The following is a 16,722-nucleotide window of genomic DNA, read 5'->3' as shown; positions in this document are numbered from 1 at the left end:
CTCAGCAGATGCCTTCTTCCTTTATCAAGAAAGTAAGGTGACCAGGTATGAACTTCAGCTTTCCTCCTTCAGTCTCAACTAAAACGTTTAACTCTATGTGTTCATGTGTGGCGGGTGTGTGTAGCTATAGACACTAGTACACGGATATGAATATGGATATGTGTGTATCCATGCTCACAGCCAAAATCAACACAATTTTAAAGTACCTCAAATGCCATTCATTGCATTTTGTAATGCACTATCTCATTTAATCCCTTTCACATGCTTCTTTTACTATTTCAGAAAAAGGGGCTTTTCTTTGCATCTGCTTATTTCCCAAAAGACCTCTCTGCTTCTTTCTTCTAACTTCATCCTCTCCACTAGCTCCTGTCCCTCAGCATGTCGACATGCTCAAGACTCACATCTTGAAAAACCCCACATCTGTCCTCAACCACTAGTCTTCTCCATATAGCCCTCAAAATTCTTATTTCTCTTAACTGCCAAACTTTTGAACTAGTAATCATTATTCGTTATTGCCAATTTCTCATCTCTCATTTGTTCCTCAACCCACCAGAAACCGGAGTCTATCTGCATCATTCCATTAAGGTTATAACTTTGGCTGGAAATGTCTGAGGGCCTATTCTGTATACTACAATTGTGGCAAGTGTCCTACATTTATTCTCTTATGCAATTCTTCCTGTTATTTTCCCTTACAGTAATTGTCAAGGCTGAAAGCCAACTCAGAGCATGGACTATGTCTGTTCTGTTCAGATATGCATTGCCAGATCCAAGCACATGGTAGAAGCTCAATAAATATTTGTTCAATTAATGACTGAATAAATAAACAAACAATGCCTTAAGGTCAATCCTTCCATCCCCATTTAATAAATGAGAAACTAGGGCTCATTGTGGTTACAGAACTTTCTCAATGTGTCACACAGGAAGCACAGTTACAGAGCCAGGATTCAAATCCAGAAACAATGATCAAACCTGTGAGCTTCCCACTTTCTGTGATCCTTTTCCTTCCATTACCCTCACTGCCACCTGTACACACAAAACACACTCCCAGATTTACATATCTAACCCAGGCCTTTCTTCCTAACCTCAGATTCAGACATACAACTGCTCACTTTAAGTTTCTACCTGAAAGTTTATCTCTAACAAAACTCACTATTTTTGCACTAAAACCAGTTCTTTCATTCATATTCTTAAAAGTGTCACCATCTATCCACACAGCCAAGCCAGAATCATGACAAACATCTTATCCATCACGTTTGCCACATACACACACACACACACTCTCTCTCTCTCTCTCTCTCTCACTCTCTGTCTCTGTGCCCCCCCTCCCCACTGCCAAATCCCAGTAACAACTTTCTGTCAATTCTCTCTAAATATCTCCTCTAACTATCCTTTCCTTTAAATCACAGACATTGCTGCTGACCGTGGTGGCTCACGCCTGTAATCCCAACACTTTGGGAGGCTGAGGCGGGTGGATCACGAGGTCAGGAGTCTGAGACCAGCCTGGCCAACATAGTGAAAACTCATCTCTACTTAAAATACTAAAATTAGCTGGGCGTGGTGGCGGGTGCCTGTAGTGCCAGCTACTCAGGAGGCTGAGGCAGGAGAATCACTTGAACCCGGGAGGCGGAGGTTGCAGTGAACCAAGAATGCACCACTGCACTCCAGCCTAGGTGACAGAGCGAGATTCTGTCTCAAAAAAAAAAAAAATTATAGACATTGCTGCAGTTTAGGCTCATATAAACCTCACCTGAACTACCAGCAATTGAATCTGTCTGGCTCGACCCTCTATAATTCATTCTTCTCTTATACCAGAGTCATCTTTATAAAGCCTAAAGATGAGGATGATGTCACTGCCTTTCTTAACACTTTGCAATGGCTTGCTATCCCAGCCAATGAGATAACTGAGTAAATGCTCTTAATACAGCATGCAAAGACCTCTAGAATTTCATTCTGCCTATGGTGCCAAATATTTGTGTACTTGCTTGTTTCCTTTCATGATCCTTGAAGGAAGGACCAAATTTTTAATCTTTTTATATTCAGCACCTAGAACAATGGACAGCAATGAATGTTGAATATAGTTTTGTTGATTAAATGAATAAGTAACAGTTACAAATGCTCCATGTTCCTATATCTGAGCCAATTTCATAAAGAGCATGAATAAAAGTAAAATCAACCTGGCTAAGGATGGGCCTAGTCCATAAAGAGCAAAAGCATGTAAAGGTAGTGCTTACCTGCCAAGGCAAAGTGCTCTGAAGGAGAACATGTTGGAAATACGCATTTTTAAAGCATCACATGGATATTTTTAGAGCATATTACACTGATTTGTTTCATATATTGGCTTGGAAAAGAGAAGTTGCCAAGGGGATTGTGGCAGTTGTAGTTGCCACTTGTTAAAAGAAATGGAAACCATAATGCCCAAAGCAGAAATGCACAGATGCAGTATGGTGGAAACACAGCCCATCCACAGCAAGACTTCTGCAGCCTTTACACCTGGGTTTTGTTTGCAAAGGCAGGGCCTGTGATGCCCCACACATGGGGTACATCAAAGAAGTAAGACCAGAGCTGTGATGCTGAAGTTCCAACAGCAACTTTGCAGCACCCCAGGCTCCCATGAGAGATGCCTTCCTGAAACTCATTAGAAAGGATTCTTAAATTTTTGGATGCTTTCAACCATTTCTTATATTTTTCTGGAACCCACTGCAAATGTACACTTAAATGACCCATTCTAGGTGTGTCACAGGCAAGTTTTATGCACTTAGAGATGATCAAATGCCCAGTGTGCCTCCTCCATCCCCTTCCCCTCCCACCCCCAAGCTTGCAGCTCTGCTGGGGATCTTTCTGTTCTGTGGTTCACTCCTACATCCATTTTCCATCCTTCCCAAGTCAGCTTCTCAGCCCAGTGGATTGGTAAGCTGATGGGATTTAGAACTTGCTACACTGGGGATAAGAACAGACCACTATAACCGATGAGTAACAAAGCTCAGAAAACTGAAAGCTAAGAGCTGCTGGTATGGGCCTGGCTCTGCTAGCAAAACCTTGCCCCTGCATTAAAAGCTTTCCACGAAAACTGACGACAGAAGCGGAAGAGCAGGAAAAAAGAGACAGCTGCAGATTCCTTTTTTCCTATCATTTCAACTTCATGCAATAGTGAGTGGAATGCTGGGCTCTCAGAATGTGTGCACCAATCAGGAAGTTCTATGGCTTTTTCTACACAATGGCAAACCTGCCTTAAAAGTGAAAAATTCATTGAATTTCTCAAGTAGGGGAATGTCTCCTGACCATATCTAATTGACTAGTCATTTTCAGCCTCCCCAGGAGTGAGTATATTTTCACTTACAGGCAATGCTTTCAGGATCACGAAGATGGTCAATTCAATGTGGCCATATTTTCTCTCTTGAGCTCCGATATGTGCTGCCTGACTGGGTTGTGGCTTTTGAAAATTGACAAGGGTCCCACAGCTTCATTCTCTCTTTTGCAAGAGATTTTCTATCTGGACTTTACACTTCTTTCCATTTGGTTGCAGCTGGCATTTTTCAAGTTAGGGCCATTCCCCTTGTACATTTAGGATTCAGGTCATTAAGAGCCAGAGGACTGACAGATTCATTATTCTTAGGCTTGTCATCTCAGAATGTCAACGTGGCTCATGAGGTCCCACTGAGGAGCACAAGCACCATTACCTGGCTTTGCACAGTTTTGTGCTCAATACTGCTTTGTCTCACTGGCCATATCCTGCTCCTACTACTTATTAGACCAAGGTCACATAAATTAGCCAGGCATTCGAGGTCTTCACACTTTAACTGACCACACCTCAACTATCTGGGCTTCCTCTCCCATAATTCCTGATGTGGACAATCAGGATGAGGCTTTGATCATCCCTTCCTCCTTGCCCAGCTCATCTTTCCCCTTCTTCCTAGTCTGATGATATTCTATCCTGAATCCACTCAAACTCTTCCCAAATCCCTCTTCCTTCACAAGGTCTCCTGATACTGCTTCAGTTTCCAGAGCATGCTCTCTCTCTCTCATTCTCTCTTTCTTTCCATGTCCCTGCAATAAAAACTGCCCAACAGTTTGGGAACAGAAAGAAGATACTCCACCTTTTATGAACTCTAACTGGCTGATGTCGGTTTGTCTTGCCTCCCCAAATGAGTTACAAATTTCTTAATGGCAGGGAAAGGGTCCTATGCTGTTGACTCCTCCCAGCGCCTATATTGGTGCTAGCATATGAATGAAAGATGCTTAATAAAGCCTTGTGGAGTTGAATTAAATATAGCAACTTGGAAGTAAAAGTATACTCTCAACAGGAAATCCCAAGTGAGCAGGCTGATGTCACAGCTCAGAGAGGCATGCATACGAACCCGAGGGACTCATGCAGTTTCCATATAGACAGGGCCACCACCAGCCCTTTGCCACAAACCATTCCTTTGCCTCAGACAAATAAATTAATCATAAATCATTTTAAACTAGAATGATGGCCCAATCCATTTTTTTCAAAAAGAACATTTACATTGCTTGATATATTAATTAATATTCTTTACAACTCACAGATAAATTCACCAAAATTGGTCTTTCCTAAAAGAGAGATTTACCTTTATTTTTCGCAATTGACTTTTACCTTAGAAATGTTTATTTATTTTTTTATTTTAAATAAAGCAGACTTTGTATTCATTTTCCTTTCAGTTCTAAACTAGCTGGACAAATGGAGTACACTGCTGCCTTGATTTTCCCCGCTGCCCACTTTTTGATCATTTTCATCCTCTTAAATTCTCACTTTTATGCAAATGACTCCCACATATATGCTGCCCAATTTTACCTTTCTTCTGAGAGTCAATCCCACATCTACTATAAGAATATCTCTTTTTCAAATAAAAGTCAATAAAAGAAGTCCACAACTCCGTATTCCAAAATTCTATTTGTGAGGCTGTTTGAAATGTATAATTCATTTTCCATAGAAACTGCATTATAAATAGTAATTCAGTTTGTTCTCTGGCTAGGAAACAAAGTTTGGCTAATCCATCTGCAATGAAAAGTAGCAGAAAGCAATATGGTAACAGTATAAGTAATTAAACGAAACACTAAAAAGTGAAGGTAAAAAAATAAATTTTTCCTCACTATTTGTAATTAAAGAAAAACAGTTTTATTTAGAGACAGAGAGGGAAATAGAAATTGTGGAGATCTTGAGGACTTCTCATCACTGGCACCCAGTTCTAAATCTTGCAAGTTTTACACCTACCTCCTCAACTCAGCCACCAGCCCTTCTGATCCTTCCTTCATCTTATTTCTTCCATTTATCTACTCTCCCACTTCCTCTGCCCTGTCCTCAGCCAGATGTTATCTTCCCTTATTTGGATTATTATAATGGTTTCCCAGTGGGTTTTTTGAATCCAATCTCTTCCTTAATATCACTATGCATGTGGCGCTCCAGTGAATCCCTCAACATATGTTTGCTCTTGTCATTGTTCTCATCAGCAGGATGTCACATGCCCATCACATCAGAAAGGCACAGCCCTAGCCAGGCTTTGCTGTGGGAATGTGCACCCTTGTCTTGGAGGAAGGCCCCCCCAGCTGGCAGGCCCCACCCCGGGTCCAGCAGAGGTACTGGCTCCCACCCAAAGTAGTCCAGGCAACTTCAAACGACTTTCAGGATGCTTGGTCTGAAGGAAGTATAGGCAATTTGTTCCCTTTGGAAGTCCCCGACTAGTTGGTCTGGTCTTGGAAGACCAGAAAGTGATGTTCCACTTTGGTTACTGCAAGATCCTTTTAGAGAGTAGCTGAGATGCTGGAGCTCTCAGCCCAAGGAGGAGAGTGAGGAGGTGAGACAGTCACTCATTGGCTTCTGCCTTATCTTGCTGCCCACTGACCTCTCTGAGAAGAGTGAAGAGCCCCATTCATATGGCTGTGCAGAGAAGCAGCGCAGCAGAGGGGAGGAGCCCTTGCCTTGGAGCCAAGCAGCTTTCCTGAGACTTGGAAGAGTCTTCACTGTAAACAAAGGGGAGAATAATTCCCTCCACCCAAAACTACTGCAGGAATTGAGTGAGCAGGTTTGAAAGTACCTATGGTGATGCCTGACAAAAACATTCATACAGTTATGCATCAATTCAATCTAAGATAAGGAGACGTACTAAAGCTTTGGGTCAGAGCCTTTGAATCCTTACCTAACGTTAACAAAAATTTTCACTTGGATGAATGCCCACTTCCTCACCTTGGGGCTGGAATTCAAGCAGAATCTTGTTTGGTGTTCTGCGCTTCATTCTGCCTCACTAAGAGAATTACTAATTTACAATCAGACCCAAAAAATATACAGAAATTAAGAGGACAGAAAAATCCAAATGAGATATGGAGTTTGATCTAGTTAACTTAAAAAGAAAAAAAGAAAAAAAAGGAAAAAAAAAAAAAGCTCCGCAAACAAACAAAAAATGACCCAGCCAGAACTGGCCCAGGTGACTGATCTGGCCAGCTGGGAGTAGGGCAGCGGCCTGTTATCATGGCGACATGAGCATCCTAATCCTGGGACGGGAAAGCAGAGATGGAAGCGGCTGCTGGGAGCCACACCTGCACGTCCGAACTGCCCCAGTCCAGATGACCAGGGCTCTGTCGTCCCTAGGTCCCTAGGTCGGGCTTCTCCTCAGATTCCATTAAGGAAAGTGAAAGGAGGGGAGAGAAGATGTTTATCTGCTTCTATTCTCTGTGTGGTACTCAAAAAATATGCATTTTAGGATTAATTGTTGTAAGACATGATATTTGTAGAGCATTCACCCATTTTTAAAGTGTTTTCACACATAGTATTTTATAAAACTCTAACTGGCACAGGTATGATTGTATTATTCCCATTTTGCAGAATATGGAGCCTAGAGTAGTGGCCACGGACAGACAACTTATACCCTCTGAACCGTGCATTTTTCATGGCGTAATGTGGATGATAAGACTTGTCTGACTATATGAAACTGTAAATGGCATAGCTTTAAATGTTATAAAAATGGCGTCACATAAATTCCTGGCCAGCATCATTCTCACCATATAGCATCTGGCACTGAGGTGATGCCCCATAAATGATATGTCCTATCTGGCTGTGTTACGTATTTGTAGAGGAGCTGTCCCTGTTACAAGCTTCTGGGGTTGTTCAGAAACTACGGGAGATGGCTGGAAACAAAGACTGTAATTGCAATCTGCGTTTCTGAATCTCCCATTAGCAGAGTCGTCCCACCTACTGTGCTGAGAGGTGACCTCATTAGAGAAGAGGAACCATCAGCGGAAAACTCAAAGCCTCCAGAACCCTCTGGCAGTTGAGCCTGTGCTTGGGGAAAGCTTTCAGCAGCTGTCGCTGACAATGGGCTTCTGTCCTCCACTCCTGCAAAGGCCTTTGCTCCTCCCATGAGCTAGCCGTTTTTGTTTTGTTTTATCCTCAAGCAAGATGGCTGCTGATTGCAATGAGCTCAGAATAGCAGAAAGTAATTAAAAATTCATTTAAAAATCTATCGCGCAGTTTAACATCTACATTAAGAACACTGCTGGGGTAAATAAGCTGGCATCGTCTTTAGTAAGGAAAGGAAAAAGAATTCAGACAGTCTGTTGCACATAGTGTAGGAACAGATAAACCGAATTGCAGCTGGCCTTTATACAAGTTTTGTAGGCCTTTTCCTGAAAATGCAAGTGATCACTGCAGAAGCCAGCATATTTTCAAAAGAATTTGGTAGCAATATAATGGCACAACTAGGAAACTTATCAATTGAGATCATTCTTCAGGAAAATGGATCTCATGTTTTCAAAGAGGCACGCCCATTCCTGAACAGCTCCCTTTAGAGGCCAGTGACAAATGGTGATAAAGGGTTGACACTTTAATAAGCAGGTTTTTTTTTTTTTCCTAAGACACAGACCCCTCACTTATCCCACTGTATTAGGAACCTTTCCATATTGATTATCTGGGATTTGAACCAGCCAGTGATAGGCAAACCGACCTGCTAAGGTAGTAACAGAAGACCCTTGGCTTCCCTCTATCCCACAAAGCCTTCGCTAGGCCTTGTCCAGTCCCAGATGGCCTCTGCCTAGCAACCATTGCCATCAACTCCATCGCTGCCCTGGCCCCAGTATCTCACAATCATTCACTAGAAGCAAATTCCATTGGAATATAGACAGATAGTCTCTGCAAGCAAGTTCACATTCAAAGATATTTTCTGAAAGTTTTGTTTTAAACTCTTGTAGAAAAAATAATACTGAAAGCCCATTACTGAAAAGAAGTTAACTTCATTATGTGATCTGTATTTTCACTCCTGAGCTGTATGTTCTGGGTTCAAACAATACTTTATATCAATTTGGAAGAGTGTCTAGGTGGCAACAGGAATCCAATGAGGAATATAATCAAACAGGTTCATTTAGCAATCAGATTACCTTATTATCATTACATTACCCATTTTATCTTAAAATTTATGTTCATTTTCAGAACCAACAACCCATTCTGCTCATTGTATTCAAAGGCAACACACATATTTTATGTTTAAAGTAACTTGTACTCCAACCTAGGAAATAAATATCAAATCAATTTACTTTCTCTTTCTTCCCCCAACGCTGAAAGCAAATGTCAAGTGTTATAAAGCTCCCCAATGATGTCAATAATTTTATTAAAAATTGAGATTTAATATCTCTTCTCGTACTCTTGATAGAGGCATTGAAGTAGGTAGAGCTATAAAACTAATAACCTATTTTTCACAGCAAATATTTTCATTCACCTGGGGCAGAGCAAACCAAGGCCTTTATGGCATCGTTAAGCCAGATTATGAGCAATTTTGATTAAAACCAAAGACTCTGACATTTTCCAACCCAAAAAAGGAGTGTCACCAGAGTCAATTTCTATGGCGATGCTTGTTTCCAGAAAAATAAATCCTGATGCTGGTGCCTCAAGAAACTGCCTCCGGAGAGGGTTATTTGCTTTTAGATGTGCCTAAATTATCACAGACTCTTACCACTTCATGGCCTGTTTCTCAGGGGGTGGAGGAAAGTGGGGGTGGGGTGGGGTCCATGCTCCCAATCACACAAGGATAATGCCATTCTGACCTCAATTGACACACACATGAAGTGGAAATAGAAACCCTTCTTTACATGGACTTGGAAAATATTAAAAGCTAACCTTTTTCTAATTGTATAGCAATGAAGAAGACTACGGATAGACAGGTGTTTAAAAAGAAGAGGAGAGAGCCAATAAGACAGGATAATAGTGTCACTTGCCCACTATTCACAATGTTGGAGTTGTCTTCATTAATATGGATAAGAGTATTTTAAAGTTTCTAAGATGAAAGATTGAGTGGGAGATTCTGATTTTTCCTTTTGGCAATTGTTCCAGAAACAAATACTAAATCATTTCATATAATGTAGTGAATGGGTATCGTACTGCCAGCGTTGAGCATGATTCCTGAATTGTATCATGTTTTTGCCGTTTGTGCTTTTTATATTTAGGGAAATGTGATTTGATCTAGCTCAGATTCAAATATAAAGAATAATCATCACATTTTACCACAAAGGTCTGTTTTGTGAATTCTTTGTTCATATTATTATATGTTTACATTTGAAGATAAGGCAGCTGCTATTGGCATTTCTGGGGTCAGTAAAATGGAAAGAGTGAATGAATGAGTGTCAATCTTTTCTAAGACAAAATGTTCAAGTAGCTTGAATCAGTGTATTATGAATTCTTATTTTCCATATTAAGCTAAGTGGAGGTATCTATCTTTCTCAGGTTATGAGGTAGTCAGTGAATTGCTGTAAGGTCAATCCAATGTTGCTAGCCAATTAAGATGACTGACATAACATAATGAGTCTTGATTCCTGGTCATGCAGATTGGTTGGAGGACTCTCCACCCTGAATGAAATTGCCAAGGACTCAGTGATACCACAATGGCTATGATCATTAACATTTCTCAACACCTATTATGCCCCAGGCTCTTTACATACACGATTTGTGATTTCGTTTCATCCTTTTACTACTCTTTGACACATGTACTGTATTTTTCCCATTTTACAGTGCAGAAATCATAGCTTTAAAAGTCTAAAAAGTTTGTTAAAGGCTATACAGGACATATTCTGCTGACCCAGAAAATACAAATGCTGAACCGATCTTTATAATTAAAATCCAACATAACATTGCCTTGGGTAATGAGTAGGGTCAGCTCTTTTTCACTTAGGTTGCTGCATTACTGTAAATTAAGGGCTTTTAAGCAGTAACTTTAATGTATTAGTGGTTATTCCATTTTTTAAAATATATACATCTTTTTCTAATTACAATAAAATTTCTCTTATTCTACATGGTCACAGAATGGACTATTCTGATTCATAAAGCATTCTCGTTAATAAAGTGTTAGGGGAATACTGCTAATCTTTAAGAAGTAGAACAAAATCATATGCTTCATATAAACTAAGTGCACACCTTAATTTTTCTTTGATGACTCAGGAGACACATGGAAGACTGTAACGGCCGAGGGTCATCATGACAAAGACCAGTTATAATCACACGAGGAAATCAGGAGAGCACTATGTTACAGAGGTTTCTGGCTGTTAGAATCTTAGATCTGAAGAGCTGGAAGGCACCTCAGAGATCTCCCATCCAAGTCTATTATTTACAGATTAGAAACCAGACACCCAGACTACTGGCAGGCTAGTGACTGAGCCAAGGTCATTTGACCGTCCAGTGGCAGCTACACAGTAACACGCACACACTGGGACCAGTTTTGCTATGCTAAGTCATATTGATCCCACTTATCACAATCAAAACAAAATGAAAAAAGGAAAGATATGCTGTCACTTGCCTTCTAAATTTGTTGATTTCCAAGCAACCATGGATCTCTACTTGTTTATGTTTTCTGTGACAGCTCTTTCCTGGATCTTCATTTTCTTATCACTACTTCCACAGCGCAACGAATACACACAATGCCATGCCGCAAATAAGACACAGCAAGGGACAGGCCCTTCCTCTGAACAGTTTCTGGTTTTTCTTTTCTTCTTCAGCACAGTTTTTATCAGGACTAAAATGTGGAGAGGAGCTTCTACCAAGCATTCGATTCCAGCCCTGCAATTTAACTTGCCAGGTTTAACTGGGGGATGATTAATCAATTATTTACTTACCTGGCAGAATTTTCCTGTCACTTATATCATATTTAATTTCAATCTATTATAATCCATTACCAGTGCTGAGCCAAAACCCTTGATGCATTATTTGCTTATGAGATGGTCTCACACATACAACAGCATCAAAGTACTCAGGTCCCATGTACATTTACAGTTGATGGACTGCCTCTGTTAAGATGTGGTTCATGTACACACTTTAGAGATTTCTATATTTTACAACTTTAACATATCCGGCGCCATTTACTACCAAGTAAAAAACCACCGGAATAATCTAGATCAATAGTCTATTTAATCTGAAAAGTCATCCTTCATGTGAGATGGGATTTAAATATTTTTTTGAAAATCATCCAGATCTTTTATTCTCACCTCTGTCACAACAAAAGCCTAAATTCTAAAACTATTGGAGATATAAAAGCCAAATGCAATGTATGAAACCTAATTGAATCCTAGTTTGGGGAAAAAAATACATAATACATTTCGGAGGGATAATTGCACTGGGTATTACACGATACTAGAGAATTCGTGTTAATTTTCTTATGTATGAAAATGGCATTGCAGTTATGTAGGCGAATGACCTTATTTTAGAGATTATATCCTTATTTTTAGCAGATACAACTCTGAGACACAGTCATTATTCAGGAGTTAGGTGTCATGATGTCTGCATCCCTTTAAATTTTCAGAAAAAGAAGTATAGAAAGAGCAAATATGGAAAACATTAATTTGAATCTACCTGGTTGGTAAATAGGTATCCACTGTACTATTTTTTCGATTTTTAAAATTCGTTTGAAAATTTACAGTAAAAACTGAAAATAACTAACGTATCATTTGAAATGATACGTTAGTATCCTAACTCTAAATTGCTTGGTTTATACACACCCGCCAGAGAACAGAAAGCCACTGTTTCCGGAAGGTGGCAAGACAGCAGCAGATGGCAGAGAAAACAGCTCTGTTTCCTCAAATGATTCTCCAACCAGCACAGATAAACACAGCAAAGGGGGACTGCAGTCAAAGGTAGGTGAGGATAGAGTAAGAGGGCACCCAGCTACTTTGCACATGTTCCTGTGTCCAGGTCCTGGCAACCTCTACCTGGGTTGTTAAAGGAGCATGCATATGAACCAAAAACACACTGGTACCTGTCCCCTAGGCAGTGTGGCAAAGAGAAGAGGGAGGCTAGCATATTACAGACATGCAGATGTCCCAATTTTCAAAAGGGGGTAAAGTGTTACATACTCAGAGAACACAGTGATTTAAAACTTATGTTTCTGCATCCTTTGAAACCATCTTGTCGTTCACTCTAGGGATTTATGTGGTGGACATGCCCTAGTACATTTCCTAATGACAGACTCTAATGTCAAAAAGCCTGCTCATGTGACACTTACAGCTGCCCCCAAATTTACCCTTCCGTGTCTCAGTTTCCTAACTTTTTCCTCCCAACACAGGAATCAAATTCCCATCTCATAGGCTCCCCATGAGAAACAAATGAAATAACATTTGTAAAGAGCCTAGTACTAAGCCTGTTACTGGGGAGGCACCCAATAAGTGGTAGTCACAGTTACCACTAGAATCAACGTGTTTGACTGTATGTCTTATGATAATCTTCTAGCCCAGACGGAAAAATTAGGGGCCGTTTGTCAAAACAGTTAAGCTTATTCCCATCTAGTTAAAAAACCGTACCTCAAGAGGGTTGATAAATGGATCGATGTCAACCTAGAAAGAGGTCGCAATTGTTCCAGTAATTTGTCTTAATCCTTCTTTCAACTCCTACTTTTATATACGACTGGAATGAACACCTAAAAGTGAGCTGTCAAAATATGGATGACAAAAAAATTGCAGACAACTGATATACGAGAGGAGAGATCACTAAAGCAGGGTGAGTATAGCACCGAGAGGTATGCAAGGCGGCTCACTACGTTGTGGGAAGGCAGTACTTGAGCACTTTCTGTCTATTTTTAAACTAAAATCCCTTCAGCTTCACTAACTTTTGTTTGTTTGTTTGTTTTGAGACGGAGTCTCCCTCTGTCGCCAGGCTGGAGTGCAGTGGCACAATCTCAGCTCACTGCAACCTCCACCGCCTGGGTTCAAGCAATTCTCCTGCCTCAGCCTCCCAAGTAGCTGGGACTACAGGCACACACCACCGCGCCCAGCTATTTTTTATTTATTCATTTATTTTTGATATTTTTACTAGAGACAGGGTTTCACCGTGTTAGCCAGGATGGTCTCGATCTCCTGACCTCATGATCTGCCCACCTCGGCCTCCCAAAGTGCTGGGATTATAGGTGTGAGCCATTGCACCCGGCCAGCTTCACTAACATTTTAAATGCCCTGACTCACAGCGATACTGCCACCTGGTCTGTAACTGGGAGGATGGCATGTCATGCCAGGGATGCGAGTCTAAGGGCAGAGTAGGTCATCACAGCAGAGGACTGGAGGGCCTTCTCTCATCTGTTTTTCTCTTCCCCGTATTATCACACACAGCCTTTTAGTTGAGCTCTGTTAAGTGGATTTATGCAATACATTTTCTAGTTTTAACTAAACCAATCTTCCCTAAATGAACAGCTGGCTTACAAAAAAGATTCCCACAAAAACATAGTGTATTGAAGATAATACTAATAATGAAAGCATAAGTGAACAACAGGAAGATAGCAGAATGGATAGTTCTACTATTCCTAGTACGAGCACTATGTTCGTCCTACCAGATAAAAACAACAATGATTTAATAACATCTGATCAGAAAAAAACAAAAAAAATGAAATCCTCAGGATGATGTGAAATATGAATTTAATTCACTATTTGTATCTTGCCTTTAGTATATACTGTGCCTTGAGGTATTAGCTAATGACACATACATATAATTTATAAAACAATAAATACACATATATGGAAGGAGAACACGCAAAAGTTACTTACAAATGAAGTAATCAATCAAAACCATTTGGAGAAAATAATCAAGACTCATAAAGCTCAAAATAAGCTAGAATGTGGGCCAATTTTAACCATAATGAAACATAAACAAGATTAATGCAAAGTCCTACATTCAGGGTCAAAAAATCCAATATACAAGTACAGGATGTGGGAGGCTTGACTCCGAAGCAATGCATGTTATAAAAGGCCTAAGGTTTACAGCTGACCATCAGCTTTATGCCAGGTAACTATGTGCAGCAGCTAACAAAATCTCAGGCTGCCTTCCTTGGGGGATGTCTAGTGTCTAAAACTAGAGAGGAAATGGCTTCACTTCATAATGCTGGACCACAGGTGGAAGGCTGTGCTCAGTTTTACCAGAAACACTGACCTATTTGAGCCCATCCATGGGACAGTGTTCAACTATGGCTTCCACAGAGAGGTTTCCTACACCTGTAAAAGGCTGGCTTAGAAGACCTCCAAGATAATCTTAACTCTGAGCTCTATGAGTCCCTGAGGACACAGGAGGCAGGGTCTGGATGATATGAGGAGCAAAATTTAAACAACTCAGCTTGTTGTGTACATGGCAGATAGTCCACACAAATGTACTTCCATGACAATGGGCGCTGTTTCTTCATCTTTGTCCTGTTCAATTTTGCAACCCATACTGGAGACATTGCCTGGCATCTAATTTGTGCTCTGCAAATATTTGTGATAATGGTGACAAACTGCTTATCACTTGAGGTATGAAGAGGCTGCAAGGGTTTGATCTCCAGGGAATTTCTAACTCTAAGATGTTACAATTTTTTATCTGCATATAATCTTTTCCTTGACAAATTAAAATATCACTAGAAAACAATGTTGAGCCTCTTTACAAGTTTTTAATTGAATATTCCACATTTCTATGGGTGAGAGTCTATTTCTATCAATTTTCCAAATAATTTGGGATTTTCTTTTAAATCTTTTTTCTCCTTTCTGATGACTTTTTTTTTTGCTGAAAATGTACAGAAAGATTTTTGAAGCCAATTCTGTTGGAAAGCTGTAGATAATAATACTTGGTTTTATTTTCTCTACCCAAAAGATTACAAATAACTATATAAAAACAAATGTAGTATACCAAATACTTTAGCTAAGGTTTAAAGAATAAAAAAGTAATTAAGGGCCGTGAAAATATGTGTACATGAAGAGATGGCAGACCTTGTCACATATGAAATTGATAACAGTTTACAGTCAATATTTGATGTTTCCTGCAACTTGACAGGACGAAAAAGAATAATTCCTTAAAAGCATTTCTGCTTGTTATGAGAAATTAGATTTTGTTAAAAAAAAAAGACTTCATGTGGAAACAAATGGTAGAGAAAATCAATGCCCAAATAATAAAAATAAACGATATACATAAGCTAAATAGTTGAGTGATCACATCCTGCTGTAGCACTGAATGTAATATTTTGTGCTGTAGCTAAACTTAAGACAATGTCACCCATCTCTTTTATAATAAATATCAAAGATCTGACTTTCTTTCTGCCAGTAATAATCAGTCAATACTTTCTGTAGAATATTTCTAAATGACATTAGTAACTGTAATTTTATTTAGAAGATAAGATCTATCCAAGCAACATTGCAAGCAAGCAAGGCAGTCTGTTTGCTCTTTCAAAGAAAGCCTTGGAGAAACAGCAACCCTATTGTCTAAGAAAGGTAAGCTAAATATTACTAGGATAATTCCCCAATGGTGAAGTGCTGTCAAAGATAGGCATTGGCAATTTGCCTCCATATCAGAATCAACCTCATCGACCTATGCTAGGCAGAGACTGGAGGGCCATCTGTGATGAGTCGGGCAGAAGGATTCCTACATTGGAAGAGTAGAGAAGTTGACCTCTGAAGGTTACGCCCAACACTAAAACTGTATGATGTTAAGAAATGCTGAAATTGTGTTTCGGCTGGATGATTAAATTCCACAGAGATTTCCAAAGTGTGTGGAAAATACATTGTTCCTTCAAAACTTAATCTAAGGGGCAAGAAAGCAGGTCATTTTTTATCACCGTTGTACAATCAGCAAGATTAAAATACAAAGAAAATCACATTCAAATATGAGTGTTATTATGCAATAAATTTGGGAAAGGAAGTATTGTAAAAAGAGCCCAGATCATGCAAGTATCCAAATGCAAGGTGAAGTGGAAAGCATGTGTCCACATCAAGAATCAAGAGAAATCTCAACACATGATATAAAAAATACCCTCCTCAATTCTCTGGCAGTTCCTGCTAATAGTGACGGGGCCGTCATTCTTGCCGTTTGCTATTTGAAAGCACTGAGCTGTTGGAAGACACAGGCAACACTGTGGCTCCCCAGGCCTGAGATGACAGAAGCCCATGAGTCTTGCTCCATGACAGATGCTGGACTGAGATAACCAGAAAGAATAGGAAATGCGGGGAACAGCAGCTGGGCCAGACAAATTCAACTTCCCACCTGCTGTTGATTTACACATTCATCTCTCAAACTCGATCCCCATCCATGGAAAAACCTGCCAGCACGTCGAGAAATTAATCAATTTGGGGAAAGGGAGGGAGTTATCCATGGTCGATTTTATATTCTTTCTGTAAGCACATTTGTGTAGCACAGAGGCAGCTGAGCCTAACAACAGTGGCTTTCTCTGCTCTCTGCTGTAATCACCCATACACCTGGGACTCACGGCCCGCACTGCTGTTTTCTTAGATGAGAAT

General features: G+C 40.0%; 1 protein-coding gene across 31 annotated transcripts in view, besides 1 other annotated feature; it reads right to left on the bottom strand.

The window, feature by feature from the left end:
* NCAM1 (neural cell adhesion molecule 1) overlaps positions 1–16,722 on the bottom strand; it is a 317,017-nt gene that overhangs the window by 123,683 nt on the left and 176,612 nt on the right. The window lies entirely within an intron of this gene.
* Positions 6,979–7,497: an enhancer, noted in NCBI's record as "OCT4-NANOG hESC enhancer chr11:113017979-113018497 (GRCh37/hg19 assembly coordinates)". NCBI's record gives its function as "activates a minimal SCP1, AML or CMV promoter by ChIP-STARR-seq in primed H9 embryonic stem cells {active_cell/tissue: H9 hESC(primed)}" and the evidence as "EXISTENCE:reporter gene assay evidence [ECO:0000049][PMID:30033119]".

Source organism: Homo sapiens, chromosome 11 (assembly GCF_000001405.40).
Source record: "Homo sapiens chromosome 11, GRCh38.p14 Primary Assembly".
In the NCBI taxonomy this organism is placed as follows: Eukaryota; Metazoa; Chordata; class Mammalia; order Primates; family Hominidae; genus Homo; species Homo sapiens.
Note: the sequence above shows the minus strand (reverse complement) of the source record. Positions and strands in the feature narration are given on the sequence as shown.